A 24,038-nucleotide genomic window follows, 5' to 3' on the forward strand; every position below is an offset into this window, starting at 1 on the left:
TTGAAACCACTGGGTGAGGGCAATCATTATCCACGGTGTAGAGAAGAGGCAGGTGGGGCTCAAAGAGGATAAGTAAGCTTCCCGCGGTTTCACAGGAAAAATGGTAGAAGGCTGAGGCTTGAACCCAGGTGTGGTTTTTTTTCCTAAAGTATACTTTCTTTTATGTGGCTCTAGGCTGAAAATTGAGGTGTATAATTTTTGACAGTTGCTGTAATCTCAGAGTTCTGAAGCCGTTAAAAAAGCTCTGAGCTTCATCTGTGTGGTTTAGGAAATTAAAAGACACAAGGAAATAGGAAAAAAAACCTTGGCATTATTTTCCACTAGATATATAGTTCATATATGCACTTAATTTTCCTCTATAGCCCCAATAAGAAGTTAGTCTTATGCATAATGAATCCATATGATTTGGATATGCTTACTGAAAATTCTCCTCTATTAATATATAACACAAAATACGTAATTTTTAGTAAATATTCTGACTTCTAATACTTGACATGTGAAATAAGTCACACTCAACATAGTTTTGAGCTAGTTATTTGGCATTGTATCTTTTAATACAAGAAGCATGTCAAGATGCTTTTTCAACTAGATATAATAATACCTACAGTAATTTTGAGATCATAGATTGAAAAACAAGAAGAAAGTGTATTTTGGGGGTAATATCAAAGTATTCAAGAAATAATTTCACTACCAATGATTTTTTTAAAAATCTCTGTTAATGTGTCAATGTAACAATTAATTAATTTATTTATTTGAGACTGAACCTTACTCTCTCACCCAGGCTGGAGTGCAGTGGCGCAATCTTGGCTCACCGCAACCTCCACCTCCCAGGTTCAAGCAATTTTCGTGACTCAGCCTCCCAAGTAGCTGGTACTACAGGCATGTGCCATCACACCCGACTAATTTTTGTATTTTTAGTAGAGATGGGGTTTCACCATGTTGGCAAGGCTGGTCTCGAACTCCTGATCTTAACTAATCTGTCCGCCTCAGCCTCCTGAAGTACTGGGATTACAGGCATGAGCCACTGTGTCCAGCCCTCAATGTCACAAATTTAAATTGTTAAAATGTGTAAGAAAATATGGTATATTGGGAAAAAGTTCACATTAATATAATTTACTTTCAAATAATTACTATTTATGTTTGAAGTAGAGACACAGTGTACTCAAAAATAGTGCTTTGCAAATTTTGGCCTTTTTTATTTTTAGTTGACACATCATTGTACACATTTATGGGGTACAGAGTGACATTTTAATACATGTATACAATGTGTGATGATCGAATCAGGGAAATTAGCATATCCATCATGATATTCTCTTCAATAAATGATTCTGGGCAAGTGCTGTCTTTCTCACCGTATACAAACCCAACTCAAAATGGTTTGAAGACTTAAATGTAAGACCCGAAACCATAAAACTACTAGAAGAAAACAGATGAATTACTTCAGGACATTGGTGTAGGCAAAGGTTTTATGGATAAGACTTCAAAAGCACAGATTTTGACTTTTGTCTATTTATGTGAAAGAGGCAAATCTTAAAAACTGAAGAAGTCCTTAAAGTAGCAGAACAAAGGAAATGAATGGTGTATAGATTTGGCATTCTTTGTGGGGTCATGTAGATTTTAAAACGAAACTGAGCAGAGGATCTCAGGGGGTAAAAAGGATTAAAAACTTCCTGGTCTCATTAGACACAACTTTTACCAGTCTGTGTTTTCTGTTTTAGTTACTATGGTAGTATCAATAGATTCTGCTCCATTAAATCGTTCGTGTTTATCATCTTGGTGGATTCTGAAAAACATCGGCTAACGTCCCTGCTTTTCTTGCTTTGCTATCTGTAGTTTTCACTGTGGAGCAGTTACCCACGTTGTTACCAAAAAAGACACCTGCAGGATGATTGAGGAAGAAGAAACTGAGGGCTTGTGGTGGCTGAGATCTTAAACCAAAAAAAGAGCAAGGGTTGATAAAACATATTTTATCTTAAGAATTTGTTCAACATTACAGAAATTTTCAATCCAAAGCTATAATTGTTTTTTCTCATTATAGAAGTGGTAAACCAAAAGCCCTTCAGTGAAGGAAGGTTCCTGGAGAAGGGAGAGCCATCACATCACTTCTCAGTTCTATCCTTGTGTTGTGCTGACGCCATCAGCACCAGCAGCTCTAGTGGGTGTGTGTAAACAGGGACCTGTCTCTGCGGAGACGCGGCTTCCTATGAGACCATATGCAGTAGACATTTAGTTAGGGTTTAATAAACATTGATTATGGAATGACTTTAATCAACACTTGTAATTGTTTTCAGTGCTTATTAATGTCTTGAAATGTCTTCCTCTTGGACTAGGGAGAACCTAAGATATTACAGTTGTGAGAGATGGAGTTGTATAACTGAACTCTTCCATATTTATTTAACCTATCCAAAATGATTTTTTTAACAGAACCTAAGAGCAAACTGAGAAAGTAAACTTGTGTAGCACTTACTTTACCACTGTGTTCCAAGCATTTAGGTAATGTTTAATTACATAAAATTAATTATATTTAATTATATGAAATCATGATGTTAACCCTGAGTCCTGTTCCTGCTTTTGGTAAAATTCAGGCCAAATATCCAAAGCCATGTACACAAAATATATTGTTCCAAACTGTTGTCATAAAATGTTTTCCGCTTACGTGCCAAGAGTTATAAAAAAAGAAAGATAGAAATTATTTTGTCTGTCAGTCCTTCTGCACTCACTTCCATGTCCCAAGACCTCACATATTTCTGTTTGTTAGCAGGATTGTCTCTGGTGCTTTTTACAAAAATATTGATAGGGAATTGTTGGTCCCAAAGATGGGCAGGGATACAGGTGTATAAATCCCTTCTTCTCAGAATACAGTCCCAAATAAGCAGTGGCTCTGCGTGTCTGAGCTTCCACACAGAAAAGTCGACTACTCAGGGGACGTGGGGACAGTTCTCCAACGGCCTGCAACAAGACCAGCTTTTTTTTCCCAGTTAGAAAAAGTGTTGATGCGATCTCGGCAATAAAAAGGAATGAACTATTGATAGGTGCAACAACACAGGTGAATCTTAAAATAACCCTGATGAAAGAAGCAAGAAAAAAAGGAGTACATTCTGTATGTTTTCATTTTTATAAAATTCTAGGAAATGCAAACTCATCTATAGTGGCAGAACAAATCAGTGGTTGCCTACAGATGTGGGGGGTCAGGAGAAGAGTGGGGCAGTGGGCAGGTGGGTAGGATTACAAAGGGGCATGAGAAAGCTGGGAGGTGATGTTTATGTTCATTGTCTTGATTGTGGTGACAGTATCATGGGTGCATATCTGTGTCAACATTTGTCACATTATACACTTTATATCTGTGCACTTTAATGTTTGTCTATTTAACACAGAGAAAATAAGAGGGGGAAATATTGTATTACTGTTGTAAACAGAAATCAGTTGACACTTGTCATAGACAGCAGCTAAGAAGGAAAATAAATGCAATTAAAACAAATCAATTAAAGAAAAATCTGCCTTCTCCTGTGGAATCTGGGCCATAGGAAAGCCTCCCTGTGTTTGATAATTACACTCTTGTCTAATGTTTGACTCTCAAAATATCTTTTTTGATGGGCAGGCAATTATGTTTTAACTGTCAAGAGCTGGGTTTTGGGGCCGAGTGCCGTGGCTCCTGCCTATAATCCCAGCACTTTGGGAGTTTGAGTCAGGAGGATTGCTTGAGGCCAGAAGTTCAACACCAGCCTGGTCAACACAGCGAGACCTCATCTCTAAAGTAAAAAAAGTAGAGAAATTAGCCAGGCATGATGACGCGTGCTTGTAGTCCCAGCTACTCAGAGGCTGAGCCAGGAGGATTGCTTGAGCCCAGGAGTTTGCAGTTACAATGAACTATGATTGGGGAGCCACTGCAGTCCAGCCTGGGTGACAGTGTGAGATCCTATCAAACAACACAAAACAAAAAAACAACAAGAGCAAGAGCAGGGGTTTTGGAGTTGGGCAGACCTGGGTTTGGCACAGTGGCCCAGTCACCTGCTAGCTGTGGGACTTTGGGCAAGACAATTGCCTTTTTTTTTTTTCCCGAATCTATGAAATGGGTTGGTAGAAGCATAGTAAGTCCTCAATAGATAGAAGCCATTTTTGTCATTATTTTTATTTGCTTCACATTTTGATTCCCACAAGATTTAACATGCAGGTAGTTTGGGGTGAGAACATATGGTATTTTAAATTCACAAGAGGGCATGTTCATATTACCATGGAGAATCGAGTCCTTTAGCAAAGTGTTGCCTAAAAAAAGAAGAGGTCGGCACAGGAAGGGAAAGGGACACAGGGACAGGAACACAGGATTTGTCAAAATGCCCACTTTTTTCTGTGTTCTTCTCAGTGGGCATCAAGCTCCTAGGTGACCCTCTGATATGGTTTCTCTGCTTTTAGTGACCTCTGCTCTTTGCAGGCTTTAATTGTTTTGAATTCATTAGTCTTTTCCCTTGTTAAATAGTAAGGCCATTGCTTAAATTACAGCACTTTTTCTCAAAAGTGCTGTATTTATGTTTGCTTATTTAGAAATTCATTCTGGCATTTAGCATGTGCTTTTTAATCATTCATCTGTAGGAAAAATGTTGGACTTTAAAAATGTTTTACTTAAGATTGACTGATAGATTTGGTTTAATCTGACTTTTTATTAGCTTTATAAACTTAAAAATAATATATATATTTATATATACTTATGGAAGTAAAAGTTGATCAGTTTATCTTGAATTGGTCATATTGTTGATATGTAAGTTTGGAGGAAAATATAGTAAAAATATACTCTCTTTAACTCTGAAATAATGTCATTTTCATGTATAGAAACTAACAGAATTACTTGCTTTCCCATGATCTTGGCCTAGTGTTTTCTTCTGCCAGCTGGTGGCAGGGATTTGACAAGTGATTGATTTGGTTGCAGAGGGTCCTGGAATTACGCAAAGTGTTTTTTATATTGGAGAAGACATGCCCAGTTTTTCACAAGTTTTAAGATTTATTGCCTCACCCTAACATGTTGCAAATTAGTTTATTTGCTATTTATTTTACTCAGAATGTAGTAATTGGTGTCATTAGTAGAAGGGAAAATTTGATCACAAGAAAGGGCAGACAGCTATTTAACACTACTTATTTGTTTCTTTGGCAACTTTGCAGAGCTGGAGATAAGATGGGTAGACTGCTACTTCCCTTTTACACATCCTTCCTTTGAGATGGAGATCAACTTTCATGGAGAATGGCTGGAAGTTCTTGGCTGCGGGGTGATGGAACAACAACTGGTCAATTCAGGTAAAAAAGAATCCCACATTTTATTTACACGTGCTCTAAAGGAACCCTCCCTTCTCAGGCAGCCCCGTTGCACACTTGTAGATATTTACATACTTCTATGCGGGCAGCGGCATCACTGGTCTCTCTTCAGATTCCCCTCTAGATTTGTCTTTGATACTAAGCCCTGGAAAAACTTATTTCTCACATCCGTATTTGCAAAGGCTCTTTGTCTTTGGAGATCCACCTTGTCAGCACTTGGCTGCTGGATTTGTACTTTGTGATTTCGTATTTGTTGATACGTTGCTTTGTAATTGCCCCAAAGACATTTGCTGCATGTCACAGGAGTGTAGTTTGTCTTTCAGACTATTTAAGAACAAAGACAATGCATAATCCATTTTTGTTCTTACTGCACTTAGTATAGTGTCCCAAATTCAGCAAGTATTTTATAAATACACTAAAACGCAGTGTAAAAACACTTAGGCCCCTAATGCTTAATCCATCACCTCCCTCTGCATAGGCGGCGCCACCTGACTGAGAGAAAATGGAAACACGAGGTTGCTGATTGAATTCTACGCATATCTATAGGCATTTCAGAAAGATCTGTCTGGCTCTTTTCTGTAAGACCATTGCTTAATAAAAATGATGGCTTCTAAATGTAATTTCAGAGCTGTGAGGTTTCTTTTTAAGTCACTATCTGAATTGAGTAATTTTTAAGTCACTATCTGAATTGAGTAATTTTTAAGTCACTATCTGAATTGGGTATTTTTTTTAAGTCACTATCTGAATTTGATTTTTTAAGTCACTGTCTGAATGTAATACTTTTTTGAAAGTTACTATCTGAATTTAATTAAAAAATTTAATATAATTTAATTAATTAAAAAATATTACAGGCTCGTGCACTTTAGGAGGCCGTCCCAGCACTTTGGGAGGCTGAGGTGGGTGGATCACCTGGGGTCAGAAGTTTGAGACCAGCCTGGCCAACATGGTGAAACCCTGTCTCTACTGAAAATACAAAAATTAGCTGGGTGTGGTGGTGCGCCTATAATCCCAGCTACTCGGGAGGCTGAGGCAGGAGAATCACTTGAACCCAGGAGGCGGAGGTTGCAGTGAGCCGAGATCGCTATACTGCAGCCAGCCTGGGCGAAAGAGCAACACTCAGTCTTAAAAAAAAAAAAAATATATATATATATATATATATATTATATATATATAATATATTATATATTTATATATTATACATTATATATATTATGTATTATATATAATATATAATATATTATAAATATAATATATAAAATATATATTATATATTATATATATTTTTTATATATAATATATATTATATATATTTTTTATATCCCAATCATATATATATATTTTTTTTTTTCAGAGTATAAATCCTCCAAAAAAAAAAGGGAAAGTTGGTTTGGATTGGGCATTTGAGCTCACTACATAAGCAGTGAGCACCAAATTGGATAGGAACTGATGTGGATTGTTCAGGAAACCTTTCCGGCTCTGCTCCCTTAGAAGGACATTTGCTGCTTGGCCTTGGAGGGCAGCTCTGAGTCAGGGTTCACCGCCCAGCCTCCTGTAGCAGAATGAAGAGAGGTCCTTCTTGGTAACTAAGAAATGTGAATAGACCATGGGTAAGGATATGATATCTGGTCATGGGCTTGGAAAATGAGGATGAGCAGAGAGTGACGAGACAGGGTGCATGAAGTGCAGGAGCTTGTGTTACCTCGGCTGGGAGACTGGAGGCCTGGCCTTCCCTTCTTACTTTTAGGTACTCTCCATCTGCAGGGGCCTGGACTCCACAAGCTCCCAGATTCTTCTTCATCCTGCTGAGGAAGCCTCAGGAGAAAGCCCAGCACAGGGCTGGAAGCTTCGTGGGCAGTTTTAAAATAGGTGAAGAGCTGTCCTAGAGGAGAGGGAGCACAGAGGTTGACATCAGGACCTGGGAGGAGAAGTTGTGAGGCCTGGGCTTGGGTGTCTGGAAACCCAGGGTTTCTGTTAATTAACAGCTGTGTCTCTTTAGGCAGGGTTCATCACCCCACGAGCCTTGGCTTTCTCATGCTTAAGATGGGTGCAAGGATACACCCTCAGAGTTCCATTATGGGGATAGATTGAGGGGATTCCTCTCAAGTGCTTAGCAAAGGGTCTGGCACACAGCAAGCATTCAGTAAAAATTAACTGCTGATGTTGTTGTACTTAAAATTTTTCTAATGGCTAGAGCCATGTGTCAACAGAGGGTCCCCTTAGTAGGAAATATTTAAACAGAAGTTGTTCCTGCCTGTGATAGAAACAATTTCTAACCAAGTGTAATTTGTTACCTCTTTGACCTGTAGTCATGTCTGTGTCTGCCATTTTATGCTGAGTGAGTGATTTTACAGGGAAAAAGAAAAGTAAGAGTAATAAACAGGAAGAAAAGGAAAATCAGCCTAACAGTTGTATGTGCATCTCAACAGAAAACATAAAATACTGGGCGTGAATATGAAAGATTTAATCTCTCCTTGAGTAGGAGCTGACTTCAAATACCTCTGTGATGATTTGATAGTTTTGTTTTTTAGAAAAAGACTTCAATGACTACTAGGCTTCCTCCCAGGAGTGCCTGGTGTCAGGGGGCTGAAGCTCAGAAAGCAAATCAGGGATGATCAGCTTACACATCAGTTGTTGCTTGGAATTGCGCTTCCTTGCACGGTTTCCAATATCCTTGATGGGTTTTTATGAGGTTTATTCACACAGTAATTGGCTGAATATTGTTATCTGAAACAGATTTCCAAGTCATTATTGCACGTTAATGAGGCTGCTGTTCTGCAATTAGATCAGCCACGTTAGATATTCTTGAATGGAATGGCAAAGTGAAAAAGACACCTAAGTCGTAAATATGTTTCAGAGATTCGCAGTGATGGTAGGATGTGCTTTGAGTTTTGGGGAAACTGTACACATAAAAATGAATTAATTAATTAATTAATTTTTGAGACAGAGTCTCGCTCTGTTGCCCAGGCTGGAGTGAAGTGGCGTGATCTCAGCCCACTGCAACCTCTGCCCCCGCTGGGTTCAAGCGATTCTTGTGCCTCAGCCTCCTGAGTAGCTGGGATTACATGCACCCTCCACCACACCTGGCTAATTTTTGTATTTTTAGTAGGGATTGGAGTTCACCATGTTGGCCAGGCTGGTCTCGAACTCTTGACCTCAGGTGATCCACCCACCTTGGCCTCCCAAAATTCTAGGATTACAGGCATGAGCCACTGCGCCCAGCCATAATATTTAAATTAAATATTTCACAAGAGAAGGAAACTAAGGAAATGGAAGAAGAGACAATTTTATAGAACGGATTCTGTGTAGACTTTGCTATTTGAATTTGAAGTTATTATGACAAAGTTCTGCTCTGTGTTCTCAAATTCGAAGGTGTTTGGATGTCTGTAGTTAAAATCTGTAAACTGCCTGGCAGTCACTAACCACAGACATTTGTAAGTGCAGCTAAATTTTCTGTTTTTTGAGTTCTTATGGCGTGGAGAAAGACCGAATAGGTATACTTTATCCCACTCGTGCAGTTCCGCTATTCTTTCCATCTCTTCTTCTATATTTGCTCCCCTGCTCTCCCTTCCTTCTTCCTCCCTGCACCCTGCTCTTCCCCTCTCTTTACTTTTCTTCATTCCCTTCTCTTTTAAAAGAGAACTTCCAAGAAACAATATAATTGATGACTCCCCTTTAAGGTTCTTATAGAGAATCAGGTGAGTGCTAAAATAACCAGAAAACAAAGAAACTGATGGAGCAATGATAGTGGCAGACATCAGTTGAGCCCTTCCTGTATGCCAGCATCCCATAAAGCATGCTGTATATGCTTTCTTTCATTTAACCATGATAACAAGGTTCCCAGGTAGATGCTGTTATAACCCGTGTTTTACAGAGCCGGAGAAAGGTAATTCAGATCAAATAGCTAGACAGTGCTAGTGAAACTTGCCAAGTCTTTCTGACAACAGTTAACTAATAAGCTATGCTCCCCAAATAGTAAATTGCATGATTTTGAAGTTGCTAAAAATTCATTTCAAATAAATCATTCTGCCTAACGTAGAATGAAAGAACTGAAACAAAATGAAACAAATACATAGCAAACAAAACTTTATTTGTTCTGTAGTTACCTCTAAGGAAGGGCTATGCCACCATGTGTGTTCTCTCCCTGTGATAGAGTGTATTTAATTAAAGCATGAAATTAGATTGCTAATTTGAAAAGTCAGTGAAGACATTTTATTACACATTTAAGCAACTGTGGCATATATGTGTTTTTATGTGTGGAACACAGCTCTTTTAAATGGCTTGTAGCATTTTACTTTATTTCTTCTTCCTTAAGTCGTAGTGTCTTCACCGTTGATTTCTGGATCCTTAGACTGAGTGATTGTGATGTGAGTGGTGACCGTTTTCAGGCTGACTTGGTTGTTTTTTCCTTAGGGAGGTATTTTGAGGACAGTACTGAGTCACGTCCCCAAATACTACACACTTGCCTCCCACTGGGTTGACTCAGGCTGCTGTGTCTTTTCACATAGTAAATGGAGCACCGCGTCCAAAACCATCACTGGGACAACTATGAGCCGTGATCATGCCAGGAAGGAATTTACCATTCCTTGCCCCTGTGAAGTTTAGAAGATTTTACATGGGCCAAGAGGGAGAAGAAGCTTGATAGTTGAAAATATCTTTTTAAAAGTGAAATTACCTTCCTTACCTTTTTGTCAAAATTTAAAAATCGGCTCTTTGGGGAAAACCTTATAAATAGGTACATGAACAGCTTCCGGTTTTGAAGGATCATTATTGGCTTGCTTATCAAATATTTCTTCAAAGTCCTTCTAAGGCTATAGCGAAGTGAATCAGCATTGCTCCTGCTTTTGAAAATATCACAGCATACAATACACAGACATACAAACAAATGATTACAGTACCATGTGGTAAGTATTCATAACAGGGGTACCGTGGGCACAATGTGTGGGGAAGAGAAGGATTAGAGAAGGTGGTGCCAGGCCTTTCCCTGGTTACAATCAGGATGGAATATTGATGCGATAGATATTTGAAATGTGCATCCCAGAGTTAGTTAGGTTCTTGTTTGCAAGGAGGGATATACTTTCTCTTTGCTTTTCCTATATCAGCATGAATCTATTTCCAGTCTGTCCCTGTCTCTGGTAGTTGATCTCTATAGCCTCTACACATACTTAACATGGTTCACTGTTGTTGATCTCAGTTGGTGAATCTGTAATAGCATGGACCAAGGCTGTACTGGTAATAAACATGCCTTTTATATAATTAGTGTCTTTTGTGTGCAAGGCACTGTGCTGGACAGAGGAAATTAGGAAAATGGATGAAACACACCTTCTCCCTGTGAAAACTTGTAGTTCTGTGTAGTAGGGCAGATAAGATTATATCGTTAGAACATAGTCATGCATATAAATGCATTTTGTGAGAACGAGCTTTGTGAGATGAGAAAAGGGAACTATGTCTGTCAGTTGGATCAGTAGAGACTTCATAAAGGAGATGGTCTTTGAATTGGGCCTTAAGTGGTCATTCTCAGATGTGTGACTAGTAATTACTTGGAGAGGTTATTTAAAATGTCTGTTCATAGAGCATCAGAGTCTGGAGGTCTGGGATGGAGATCAAGATATGCATATTAAACAAATACCCTAGATAATTCTTACGAATGACTCACATTCAGACCATACTTTGAAAACCCTATCTATAGCATAGGTTGAATATTTTTCCCAATTTTTTTGGGATATAATTGAAGTGTAATGAACTGCAGATATTTAAAGTGTCCAGTTTGATCAGTTATTGACATACGTATACACCAGTGAAACCATCACCACAATCAAGATGATAAATGTTTTCATTCCCAACTGTTTCTCATGCCCTTTTTGTAATCTGTTCCTCCACCCATCCCTGTCTTCAGGCAACCACTGATCTACCTGCTGTCATTATAGATTAGTTTGGATTTTCTACTATTTTATATAAATGGAATTGTACAGTGTGTATTCATTATACCTGGCTTCTTTCACTCAGCATATAATGATTTTGAGATTTATCCATGTTGTGTGTACTGTGTATCAATTTATTCCTTTTTATTTGGAGTAGTGTTTTATTGTAAAATTCTTTGTGTGGACATATATTTCCATTCTCTAGAAGCAAAAAGCCTATGAGTGGAGTGTTCTATAAATGTCAGTTACATCAAGGTAATTGAATAGTGTTTAGCTCTTCTTTCTATGTTTACTGATTTTTTGGTCTTAGTACTCTATCAGTTGCTCAGAAAAGAGTAAGATTTTCTACTATGATTATGGACTTGGCTATTTTACCCTTTTATCTGTCAATTTTTCTTTATGTTTTTTTGAAGCCATATTATTAGGTGCATATATTTTCATAGTAGTTATGTTTTCACGAGGAATTGTTCCTTTTATCATTGTGAAATGTCTTTCTTTATCTCTGGTAATTTTCCTTGGACTCTGTTTCATTTATATTACAATATCCATTCCTGTCTTGTCTTCCTTCCTCCCCAGTTACCTTTATATTGTTATAGTTACATATATTACATCTACATACATTGAAAACCTCGTGATTCAATGTTACACTTTTCCTTTAAGGAGTCATATGCATTTTTTAAAAAATTAAGAGGAAAGTAGTTTTCTTTTATATTTACTTAGCTGTTTCCCATTTCTCTTGCTGTTCCTTTATTCCTGAAAATACATGTTTCCTTCTGGTTATTCTTTTTTCCTTCAATAAGAAAAACTTTCCTTAGCATTTTTTATAGACCACGTCAAGTGGTGATAATTTCTTAGCGTTATTTTATGTGAGAATGTTTTTATTTCCCCTTTAGTTTGAAGGATGTTTTTATTGAATATAGAATTCCGGATTGATGGATTTTTATTTTTTTTCTCAGCAACTTAAAGATGTTGATCCATTGTCTTCTGCCTCTATAGTTCTAAAGAGACATCCATAATCTTTTCAGTCATTCTTCACTTGTAAATACTAGTATCTTTCCTTTTTTTTTAAAAAAATTATTAACTATAATTTTTTACTGTGCTGTCTTTAGTTACTTTCAAGGCTTCTACCCACCCCCCGCCCCCCCCCCCATTTTTGTTTTTCAGCCATGTGATTTTGATATGTCTAGGTATGGTTTTCTTTTATCTCACACTTATGATAGATCTTTTGATTTTGTCCCAGGAGACCCTGAGACTCTGCTTACTTTTTTTTTTTTAATCTTTGTCTTTCTGTTTTTCAGATTGGATAATTTCCACAGATCCATCTTCATGTTAATTGATTTTGTTCTCTGTCATCTCCATTCTGCTGCCTTGATCACCAAATATATTTTTATTTCAGTGCTTTTTTTTTGTTTTAAAATTTGCATTTGGTTTTGTTTTATAGTTCCTATTTTTCTTCTGAGAATTCCTGTATTTTCATTTCTATCAAGTTTGTTTTTCTTTACCTCATAGAGCAAAGTGACAGTGGTTGCTTTAAATACATGTTGAATATCCATTATCCAAAATGCTTGGAATGAGAAGTGTTTCAGATTTTTGGATTTTGGAATATTTGCATTATACTTACTGTTTCAGCATCCCTAACTCAAAAATCCCAAATTCAAAATGCTCCAATGTGCATCTCTTAATGGGCATCATGTCCATGCTCAAAAAGTTTCATATTTTGGAGCATTTTGGATTTTGGATTTTTGGATTAGGGATACTGAACCTGCATCTGATAGTTCCAATGTCTGGATCGTCCTGTGATTGACTTTTGTTAAGAATTGGTGATATTTTCCTGGTTGTTTGTAAACAAATTTTGGATTGTATATTGCACTTTCTGAATGGCATCCTGTCATCTGTGGTGACTGTTGCTGTTTTAGTAGGGTGATCAACCTGGTGAGCTCTAGGCTTTGAGTGGGACCTGCTTCCTAGGGGCAGCGATTCAGTTCTCAGTGTAAGTCTTTGTTGTGCTTATTTTTGTCCATCCTGTACTTAAGGGGTTAGTCTGCAACTTGTGTGAGTGGTTCAGATCTCAGTTCAGTTTTCTCAGCCTTTTCTGTGCTGGTTGGAGTCTGTGCTGTGCGTGTGTCACTCCAGTGTCAGGCTGATATCTGTGCAGGTTTCCACATAGAATTCGGGCATCCTTTCCTGGGCTTTCTCTACCCCAAGATCATACCCTCAGACTCCTCAACTCGCAGAATCCCTTTATCTGCAGACACACAGACAGGCTTCTCTTTGAGTTTAGTTGCCTGTGTTGTTTTGCAGCTATGCAACTGGGGCTCACCTTTGGGGCAAAATCATGTGAGAAGAAAACAAAGCAGGAACTTCACCCTGTGTGGGTTGCCTTTCCAAGTGTTGACTCTCCTGTATAATTTTTCTGTTTTTTTACTTTTCAGAGTCCTCTGTTAGTTGTTTAGAGATTTTGGTCGTAATCAGAGAGAGGGATAGACTGGTGGGCTCATGCCCCCATAGTGGACCTGAACTGTAGTTTGGGTTGTGAATGCACTCCAGGTGAAAGGATAATTGCGTGACACACATATGTGGTACTGGAAACGTGGTGGTATTGGCTCCACTTGTCTATTTACTCTGTCAACTTTATTAATCAGAATTAAGCCTGGTACATTTTTGAGGCCAGTTAGTTGAGATTGTCTAAGATCTGTGAAACTCTGGCTCGCTTCCTTCCTCCTGCCCTCCCTTCCTTCTCCGTTCCTTTCTTTCACCTTCTTAACTTTCCTCTCTTCCTTTAAGTCAGTCTTGCCCCTTTTAGTGCCCATTCAGAAAAGCAAACAAATACACGTCAGCCTTATGTGTAGGTTTTGCCTCAAGTTCCTCCTAGTGACATATTTTCAAGCTGCCAGAATGGAGATGTCTGTTCAAATATTTACTTAGCCTTTTTCCCTTTTCAAAACAGCTAAGATGGTGAGACTTTTTTTCTGATATAAAAGCAATCTGTAATCATTGAAAAATTAAGAAAATAAAATATAAAAATGAAAATGAAAGTAATTCCATGATCCTACATAAAATAGATTCTTTATAAAATTTAATTCCTATATAAAACTGTAAATCTTTATGCATATTTATAATTGTCAGATATACCTACATATAGAAGTTATATATATATTTTATAAAAAGTAGAATCATACTTTGAATATTTTTTGTATTAATTTTTTCTGCAAGAAATGTGACACAAGTGTCCTTTGATGTTACCAAATATTTATCTACATCATCATTGTCAGTGGCTGCACAGCCACTGTGGATGGATCTTTCTGGCCACCCCCATGTTGATGGGTTGTTGACAATAACATTTTTATCCATGTGTCCTGTGCACTTGTCTTAATATTTTCCTGGGATAAGTTTATAAAAGTGGAATTACTGGTTTTTTCCTCCCTAGGTTTATGATGCATATTCATAGGCACACTGGAAAAAAAGTACCTGCAGTATTTGAAAGAGTTGATTTTTCCACACCCTTACCAATATTGAACATTATCAATCTCTTTACTCTTTACATTTAACAGGAAAAAAATGTATACTGGTGTTTTGTTGTTATTGTTTTTTAGAAGTGGAGGGGGGGTGTCTCACTGTGTTGCCCAGGCTGGACTTGAGCTCCTGGCCTCGAGTGATCCTCCCACCTCAACCTCCCAAGTAGCTGGGAGTACAGGCATGTGCCACAGTATCCAGTTTATACTGGTGGTGTTTTAATTCCCTTTCTTTTTTTCTGGTCACTAGTGTCACTGAACATGTTCCCAGAAGCTGTTGGCTCAGTCCATTTTCTTTCTTTTTTTTTTTTTCTTTTTTGAGACAGAGTCTCTCTCTGTTGCCCAGGCTGGAGTGCAGTGGCACAATCTTGGCTCCTTGCAACCTGCATCTCCCGGCTTCAGGTGATTCTCCTGCCTCAGCCTTCTGAGTAGCTGGGACTACAGGTGTGCGCCACCACAACCGGCTAATTTTTGTATTTTTAGTAGAGACCGGATTTCACCATTTTGGCCAGGCTGGTCTCGAACTCCTGACCTCAAGTGATCTGCCTGCCTTGGCCTCCCAAAGTGTTGGGATTACAGGCATGAGCCACTGCGCCCAGCCACTCAGTCCATTTTCTAATGAGACTAGAAAGGATGCTAGAATATATTCTGCAAGTTTTTCTTTTTATTCTTTCACTCCAAATGATAACCTTATTCTCATCTTTGTTGAAGTCCTCTGTGTATCCCTCCCTGTCAGTTTCTTCACTCCTTCCCTCTCTCCCTCCCTTCTATAAGCAATCACATTCTGAATTTTGTATTATTACCTTGATTTTCATTAGAGTTTTACTATTTATATTGTAAAACAAGTTGACTTTCATGTGCTTTTATGTTTTAACAAATGAAATCACAGTATAGCTCCTTTCATGACTTTAGGTTTTCATGCATTAGTGTGAAGTTCATCTGTGTTGTCATAAGTAGAGTTTTAGTTCTTTTGTTTTTTGCAGCTTATATTCTACTGGATGAATGTTCCATAGTTCATTCATCCATTCTTTAATGAATATTTGCTTGGTTACGATTTTCTTTTTGCTATTACAAATGCTACTGCTGAACATTCTTGCACCTCTGAATGTATAGGTGTAAGAGTCTCACTGAGCTATGTTTTACCTAGCGGTAGAATTGCTAAAAGTCAGCACTTACGAGCATCTTTGGGTATCATCAAATTGTTTCCCAAAGTGGTTGGCCCAATTTATATTGTCTTGAGCCTTTCTAAAGTTCCCTGGTGTTTTACATCCTCTTTAACACTTGACGTTGTTCAACTTATTTTGGCAGTCTGATACGTTTAAAATAGTATCTCTAGCTGAGCTTGGTGGTGCACCTGTAGTCCTAGCCTAGAGGCTGAAGTGGGAGGATCACTTGAGCCCAGGAGATCAGGGCTGCACTGAGCCATAGAGTAGCCGCCACTCCACTCCAGCCTGGGTGGTAGAGTGAGACCCTCTCTCAAAAATTAAATAAATAAATAATAAATTAAATCAAATGGTATATTGTGGTTTTTATTTGAATTTACCTGGTTATTACTGTTAAGTTTGAACACAATTTTATATATTTATTTAACATTTATTGTTTTTCTTTTGTTCATTTTTGGGTGAGGCTCATTTCTGTCTTCTAAAACTGGCAGGAATTCTACATTTATATCGGTTACTAATCATTTGTCATTTCTATGTATTGCAATTATATTCTTCAGGTTTGTGGCTTTTCTTTTTCTGTTCTTTTTTTAAGTTGCTCTTTCATAAATGGAATGTGTATATATATATATATACACACACACACACATTTCTTTTTTTTGAGTAGCTTTAGGTTTCTTTATATAACATCATTCTCCAAAAAAGTCACTTCACCGGGGATTGTGTGTGGGTGTAAGTTGGCAAGTTTCATGAAGATAACCCTTTTGCTTGTCATGCTTGATTCTGTAGTTTAAGTCTCTCATGTTACTGCCTTATCATTCATATTTTCAGCATTGGGATTCTAAATATTTAATGACTTTCAAGCATTTACCCTCTCTTTCCTAGTGTTCTGTCAGATTTAGTCCCACCCTCGGTGACAGTTTCCCTTGGCTGGGAAGTCGTACTCTAGGATGTGCTTCTTTGACTAGGAAATGTAGCTCAGAGCTTGCCTGGGAGCCCCAGTGATGCCCTTTTCACTGAATTGGATTTATGTCCTCCTATGTTTTTTAGTTTTCCCTAATCCTGCTTCTCATCCACACCAGGCCTCTGGTATTTCCATTACTGTAATAAAAATAAAGGCTTTGGCAACTTCTCTCAAGCTGTGGTATCTGTCTACATTTCTGATGTTTTTGCAACTGTTGTGTTAGGTGTTGTGTACTGTCTGTGGCATGATTTCTAGATATAAGAAACATCTGGAAAGCCGAGATTCTGTCCTGTATGTTCATTTCAATGTCTAAGGTCTTGTATGCTTGCCAGATATATAAAGCACTTTCCATTTAACTTTCCAGTTTCCCCCCATCAATGTGGACTTAATTTTCCATTTTAAACTGTTATCCTTTTTCCTGTTGTCTTCTCCCATTCATGAAACAGTAACGCCAAAAACACAGTCTAACCATTAGCTTTTTACATGTAGAAGCTGTTGGCACAGTTTGTGAGTGAGCAAATAAAAGGTGTGGATGGAAAAGAAATGGAATTTGGCAAAGTTGGTATTGATGCAAGTGGTTCCTTCTTTTATCAGACTGTAGTATTGTTCCAAGTTCTTCACCCCTCCCTGTATCTGTGCACTTGGTTCCCTGACTTTGAAGCACTGTCTGCTATGAGAAGAATATACTTCTCTGCCCTGTTGATTTGGAGCTTGCCCCTGTAACTGCTTTGGCTAAAGGGAAATTAGCAGATGTGACAGGAAAAGAGGCTTGAAATGTACTTGGCAGTTGTTTTTTTGCCCTTTTTAGCTTCTGCCATTATGAGGTGAACATGCCCTGTGTAGCTTGCTGGTTCCAGAACAGTAAGAAGCATGTGGAGTGGACCCGAACCAACCTCAGGGCCTGGAGCCCAGCCAGTCTGGACCAGCTGAGCCCCAGCCCCGCAGACAGGTGGTGGTTGTTGCATGCCACTGAGATTTTGTAGTGATTTGTTGATCAGCTGTAGCTGGCTGATAAAACATACATTGTAGTTGTCATATTCTTTTTCAGCTTACCGAGGGCTCATAGAATGCTTAAGAGTCTCTCTTCCAAAATCATTTCACAGAAAATTCAGCTCATTTATTTCTCTCAAGTATTTCCTCTTCACCTCCCTTTCTAACTTAGCAGGAAGGATATTTGGAAAGAACTTGACTTTTTTACTTCCCTCCCTCTGCAGAGAAGCCACTGAAATAGTTTCTCAGTATTTTAGTGGGCTGTGGTGGTGGTTCTGAAAACCAGACAGGGATTGGTGGTGGGAATGTCCTCTACATGGGAGGTTTTTGAAAAGCCACTGATATATGGAAGATCCTCGTGTGTGTGTGTGTGTGTGTGTGTGTGTGTGTGTATGTGTGCATGCACGCACGTGCATATGTTCGCAATATAATCTTTTTAAAATTTTAGCGCAGGCTGGGTGCAATGGCTCAAGCCTGTAATCCGAGCACTTTGGGAGGCCAATGTGGGCGGATCACAAGGTCAGGAGTTCGCGACCAGCCTGACCAACATGGTGAAGCCCCGTCTCTACTAAAAATACAAAAATTAGCTGGGCATGGTGTCAGGTGCCTGTAATCCCAGCTACTTGGGAGGCTGAGGCAGGAGAATCGCTTGAATCCGGGAGGCAGAGGTTGCAGTGAGCCGAGATTGCGCCATTGCACTCCAGCCTGGGTGACAAGGCGTGACTCTGTCTCAAAAAAAAAAAAAAAAAAAAAAAAAAAGAGAGAGAGAGAGAGAGAGAGGAAAAAATCTTAGTGCCAGGTGTCTGAATTTAATTAGTCTCAGGTCGAAGACTCTGGAATCAGTGGAATGTAAGCTTCATTAGGGCAGGGAATTTTTTTGGTTTTGATCACTATGGTATTCCCAGTTCCTAGAACAATGCCTAGCACATAGAAGACACTCAATATCCATATATAAATTAGATGGATGGCTGTGTGGGTGGGTGGACCCCCCACTCCTCATCCCAATGTTCGTTATTCTTTCTTCAGGCTCATGGAAACAGTAAAATGGGGCGGGGGGGAACTGACCTAATTTTTGAAGCTTGCTCGTGGCTCTTTCTGCCCTCAGCTGCTCAGTACAATTCCCAGTTTCCAAGGATGGGCAGTGGGAAGCACATTGGCCTCAGAGTGAAGACCTGGCTCCAGTCAGGCCTGGCCACCAGCTGGGCTGGAGATCTTGGGCAAGTCCTGTGGGTCTCAGTTTCTTCATCTGTAAGATGAGGGGCCTAAATTATATAATTTTCAGATTTCATTTTAACTCTCAAATCTTCAACAGCCTAGAGTTTCTTAATAAAACCCATAGAGGATTGTGTTTTGTTGTATAGCACCACATAGAAAATTGCCTAGCAGCAGGACTTGGGTGTATATGGTTGGTTAATCAGGGTTTTTCTTCCTCTTAAAGAAATTCTTAGAGACCTTTAAAAAAAAAGAGAGAAAAAGAGGATGCTCATATAATTGGATTTTATTTAAACTATTTATGAAACTCTTGCTTCATGGGATCACTGCAGCTTTGCAGGCAGGTAGTGATGTGCTCTCAGTGGCTCAGTTTTATTTTCTCCCCTGCAAAAAGGCAATTTAGAAGTTTAGGAATTATTTATGGTACTGTGGGGATAAACACAATCTGCTAAGTTATTTTTCTTATATCATTTTTTTTCAAGGTTCATTCCTGTATTTTAGGCTGGAAGCAATGTCTTCATGAAATGGCCATGTTGTTATGTCCGTGAACAAAATGAGGCAATGTCATCACTAGGCAAAATTTATGCCAGGTTTTAAAATTGTGATTCTTAATTGGTATAATTCAAGAATTGGATATTACTGGGTGATTCTCAGAAATAAAGACTTGATAGTCACCTAAGTATGGCAAATGATGGTCTGAAAAAGTTTGAGTTTTCTTTACTGGAGAGTGTCTCCAAGCTCGGAAGAAGTAGCTCTGTTTGAGGGAGGGAGTGTGCCGTATTTTCCAGACTTCTTTGACCAGAGAATCCCTTCATGAAAAGATTTCTTCTATGGATCCTGTCCCAAGAAGGACACATGGGGACATGCCCATCCATTGGCTGCTGGGATTGACAGTAACCTAGGAGGCTGAAGGAAGTGTTTTCTGGGGAAGCAGGGACAAACTACAGTAAGATACTCTTTAAAAATTTTGTGGCCAGGTGCGGTGGCTCACGCCTGTAATCCCAGCACTTGGGGAGGCCGAGGCAGGCAGATCACGAGGTCAGGAGATCAAGACCATCCTGGCTAACATGGTGAAACCCCGTCTCTACTAAAAGAAATACAAAAAAATTAGCCGGGCGTGGGGGCGGGCACCTGTAGTCCCAGCTACTCAGGAGGCTGAGGCAGGAGAATGCCGTGAATCTGGGAGATGGAGCTTGCAGTGAGCTGAGATCGTGCCACTGCACTCCAGCCTGGGCGACAGAGTGAGACTCCATCTTAAAAAAAAAAAAAAAGAAAATTTTTTTTACCTCGAGGCATGCCTTCAATACAAAGGGAAGTAGCTGATACTAACATAAGTAATTCAGAACATCCATTTATCATTTTAGATTATTTGTCTGTGGAGCCCTGGAAACCAAGGGTTTGTGGGCTTCAAAGGCATTAGGAAGAAAAAAAGCTCTCAAAATCCATTATATGTATTTGATACTCCATTTAGTAGAATCAGCCTTCCCTCTTTTCTTCCATCCCTGAAGCAAACTTTTAAGTATCTGTGTGGTAGGAACCATACCCACATCATATGGATGTAGAGAGGTGGTTTCTGCCTTTGGGGGACTTCCAGTCCAGTGGTAGAGGCTGATGGGTAAACTGCTCTGTCCAAGGTGCTATGGTAACAGTTGAAGGAGGAAATAGTTCCCTGAGAGCTTGTGCAAAGCTTCATACTTGGATGTGATGCTTGAGCTGACAGATGAAGTCTGAGTAGTTTAGACGACAGGGGCTGAGGGAAGAGGAGGTTTTTAAAGTACATTTTATTGTGTATATTTAAGGTATACAACATGATGTTATAAGATATATATATATAGTAATATGGTTACTCTAGGGGAATGAATTAACACAGCCATCATCTCACTTAGTCACCCATTTCCCCCGCTGTGTCATGACCAGCTGTTGGCTACTCATCTGCTGGTGCAGAGACACAGGGAGGGAGAGGCGGCACTGTGTGTTTGGGAAGACTGACGCATGGATGTCTGGATTACACCATGAAACATGTTACTTAGGTGGAGGAGGTTGGAACCTAGATAGGGTCAGTTCCGGAAGGGCTACGAATGCAAAATCGAAGACCTTACATCTCATCCTTCTGGTAGTAGTGAGGCATTGAAATATTTAAAGTAGGAAAATAATGTGACCAGATTGATATTTGGGTATCTGGCATTACTGTGGAGTGTGAGTGGAAGAAATGCAAGTTCAAAGACAAGGAGAACAGGCGAATTGTCTAGGCGCTAAATGATGAGGGCAGGAGCTGAAGCAGCAGTAGCAGTGGGCAGAGAGGGGGCCAGATTGTGTGCCTTTTAAGAGTTATCACCAGGCTTTGTGTGCAAGGGGACCACCTTCTTGGCATGAGGAAAAGGTCATGGATTGAAGGAGCAGATTAGTTCTGATTGCAGCTTTCCTAAGCATAATTGACACACAGAACCTTTGAGCAATACTCTGCCACTGATACCCTCCAAAGAATTGTAGGTGAATTCCACAGCATGCTTTTTACCCCCATTCTCTACCTTAAGCTGCCTAAATCATAATCACTAGTATAACCTCTTCCTCATGGTGGAGACATTTTTAAAGAACATTATCCAGGGAAGTGGAAACTGTTAGGTGAAGGCTTTTGTTACCTAAGAAGGCAAAATGTACAAATGCTACTCATCATCCCTACCTTATCCTCAATAAATGTTTATTGTGTTTTTGACCCACATTTGGTTGAAAACAGTCCATGTAGAAGTGAACCTGTGTAGTTTATTGAGGATAAAACAATAAATGTTTACTGAGGATAAGGTAGGGAGGCTGAGTAGCATTTGTAAGAAAGGTAGATGCTTGGCAAGTGAAGATGAACAAGGCACAACTGCCCTTAAGGATTGAATGGTTTGATGAGGGATGCAGTCTCACAAATAGCCCCATAAGCAGATATGGTATCAGGCTTGGAGGCAAGTGGCCTGCAGAATCAGGGAGGTTATCCCAGAAGAATTACCTTGAAGAGTGTTCTTTTACCTTCGTCTTGAAGAATGCATAGGCCTTTGCCAGCACAATAGGAAGGCAGGGCCTTCTAGGCAGATGGGATAGCACATTCAAAGATACAGAGTTTCGAAAGATCCAGAATGTTTATTTGAGGACAAAGAATCGCAGTGTGGTTGGGGTAGCCTAGGGGACAGTGAGAGTGCTGGTGGGAGGTAGATCCAGAGAATCCTGGCATGTGAGGCTTTATACACAAAGCTAAAGGAGTGTGGACTCTGTGCTGTTGTTATTGCAGCCAGTAGAGACGTATTTGGGAAGGGAAGGCGATGAGAAAGTGGAAGAAGGGAGTCCGCCTCTTCATGTATTGTATACAATTATTTTATAGGTCATGCATTTATTTGGGGTGTGAGTGTGCCTGTGAGTGTGTACACTCTCCCTCCCACTGCTTTCATGTCTGTTTTTCTGTATCCTTTAAGTTTTTTAATGCAAATACAAATATGTATTCTTTTTCTTTCTTCTTAAAAACCAAAGCAGCACACATTTTTTCTGTTTTTTTTTTTTCACTTACAGTGTATTTTAGAGATGTTTGCACGTTAGAAAGCATTCCCATTTCTATTCACAGCTGCATGGTATTGCATTGTGTGTATGAACCATAATGTATTTAATCAGTGCTCCCTTGATGGGCATTTTGTGTGTTTCCCTCTTTTGCTATTAAAAACAATGTTTCAGTGAATAACTATGTACATGTGTCACATTTTGCGTGCAAGTACATTTATAGGATTTATTTCTTGAAGTGGAATTGCTAAATCACACAGTATATGCATTTATAATTCTTATAGACATCATGCCTATTAAGTAGACCTGGGGTGAAGCAGTCATATCTGATATGTGGATTGAATGAGGGTAAGCAGTGAGCAAAATGGAGGATGGTGCTAAGTTAGCCTTGGTGACTCATGATGCCATTTCACAAGATGGAGACAGAGAAGCTATGTAGGTTGCACCCAAGCTTTTGAACTCTTAAGTCTGAAGTGTCTATAAGACATCTAGGTAGGAACATCTAGGAGATAGTTGCACGTGAAAGATCGGAGAGCGTAAGAGAGCTCTGTAAGAGATTTTGAATTCATCAGTGAAGTTAAAAGTCACTGGCCGGGTGCCGTGGCTCACGCCTGTAATCCTAGCATTTTGGGAGGCCGAGGCGGGCAGATCACTTGAGGTCAGGAGTTCCAGACCAACCTGGCCAACATGGTGAAACCCCATCTTTACTACAAATGCAAAAATTAGCTGGGTGTGTTGGTGGGCACCTGTAATACCAGCTACTCGGGAGGCTGAGGCAGGAGAATCGCTTGAACCTGGGAGGCAGAGGTTGCAGTGAGCCAAGACTTTGCCACTGCACTCCAGCCTGGCTGACAGAGTGAGTAAGACTCCATCTCAAAAAAAAAAAAAAGAAAAAAAAGAAAAAGAAAACTCATAGACTTAAGATTTTTTATATATGTGTATATATGAAAATTATTATAAAGAAAGAAGAGAAAGGCCAAAAAGTATAAGGTTTCAGAAAAATAAATATTCTCCTGGGTTCCTTTATCTATTAAATTTACTAGAATTCATTGGCATAAGGCAAAAGTTCTCATGTGGTTCAGGTCTTTATTTGACTTATTCATTCATTGTTCATGCATTCATTCATTTCAATATTTGCTGAATACCTGGTAGTACAGATTGCATATCTCTTATGTTAAATGCTTGGGACAAGAAATGTTTTAGGTTTTGGATTTTGTGTGTGTGTGTTTTGGAATATTTGCATTATACTTACTGATTTAGCATTCGTAATCCGAAAACTCGAAATCAGAAATGTTCCAATGAGCATTTCCTTTGAGCATCATGTGGGCCCTCAAAAAGTTTTGGATTTTGGAGCATTTAAGATTTCAGGTTTTTCAGATTTGAGATACTCAAGCTGTACCAATTAATGACGAAAATATGGTCATCCCTTGGTATACATGTGGGATTGATT

The 24,038-nt window shown here is 39.1% G+C and overlaps 1 protein-coding gene across 23 annotated transcripts in view, besides 2 other annotated features; it reads left to right on the plus strand.

Moving 5' to 3' along the window:
- Positions 1–24,038, plus strand: part of FARS2 (phenylalanyl-tRNA synthetase 2, mitochondrial) — a 521,650-nt gene that overhangs the window by 175,956 nt on the left and 321,656 nt on the right. For 18 of the 23 annotated variants that reach the window (XR_007059197.1, XR_007059196.1, XR_926027.4 and 15 more), the window contains one exon: positions 5,152–5,283. The exons of 1 other annotated variant lie outside the window; for it this stretch is intronic. Coding sequence is in view for 17 of the 22 variants with exons in the window: in XM_047418086.1 (XP_047274042.1) it covers positions 5,152–5,283 (132 nt within the window). In the remaining 5 variants the exon portion in view is untranslated. Of the gene's footprint in view, positions 1–5,151; positions 5,284–5,779; positions 5,922–7,062; positions 7,685–19,539; positions 20,067–24,038 lie in introns of those variants that run through there. 4 more of the 23 variants (XM_047418087.1, XM_006714966.4, XR_007059199.1 and 1 more) reach the window with 3 other exon arrangements.
- Positions 12,434–13,350: an enhancer, noted in NCBI's record as "OCT4-NANOG-H3K27ac hESC enhancer chr6:5438556-5439472 (GRCh37/hg19 assembly coordinates)". NCBI's record gives its function as "activates a minimal SCP1, AML or CMV promoter by ChIP-STARR-seq in naive and primed H9 embryonic stem cells {active_cell/tissue: H9 hESC(naive and primed)}" and the evidence as "EXISTENCE:reporter gene assay evidence [ECO:0000049][PMID:30033119]".
- Positions 13,351–14,267: an enhancer, noted in NCBI's record as "OCT4-NANOG-H3K27ac hESC enhancer chr6:5439473-5440389 (GRCh37/hg19 assembly coordinates)". NCBI's record gives its function as "activates a minimal SCP1, AML or CMV promoter by ChIP-STARR-seq in primed H9 embryonic stem cells {active_cell/tissue: H9 hESC(primed)}" and the evidence as "EXISTENCE:reporter gene assay evidence [ECO:0000049][PMID:30033119]".

This window comes from Homo sapiens, chromosome 6 (genome assembly GCF_000001405.40).
Source record: "Homo sapiens chromosome 6, GRCh38.p14 Primary Assembly".
Lineage (NCBI taxonomy): Eukaryota > Metazoa > Chordata > Mammalia > Primates > Hominidae > Homo > Homo sapiens.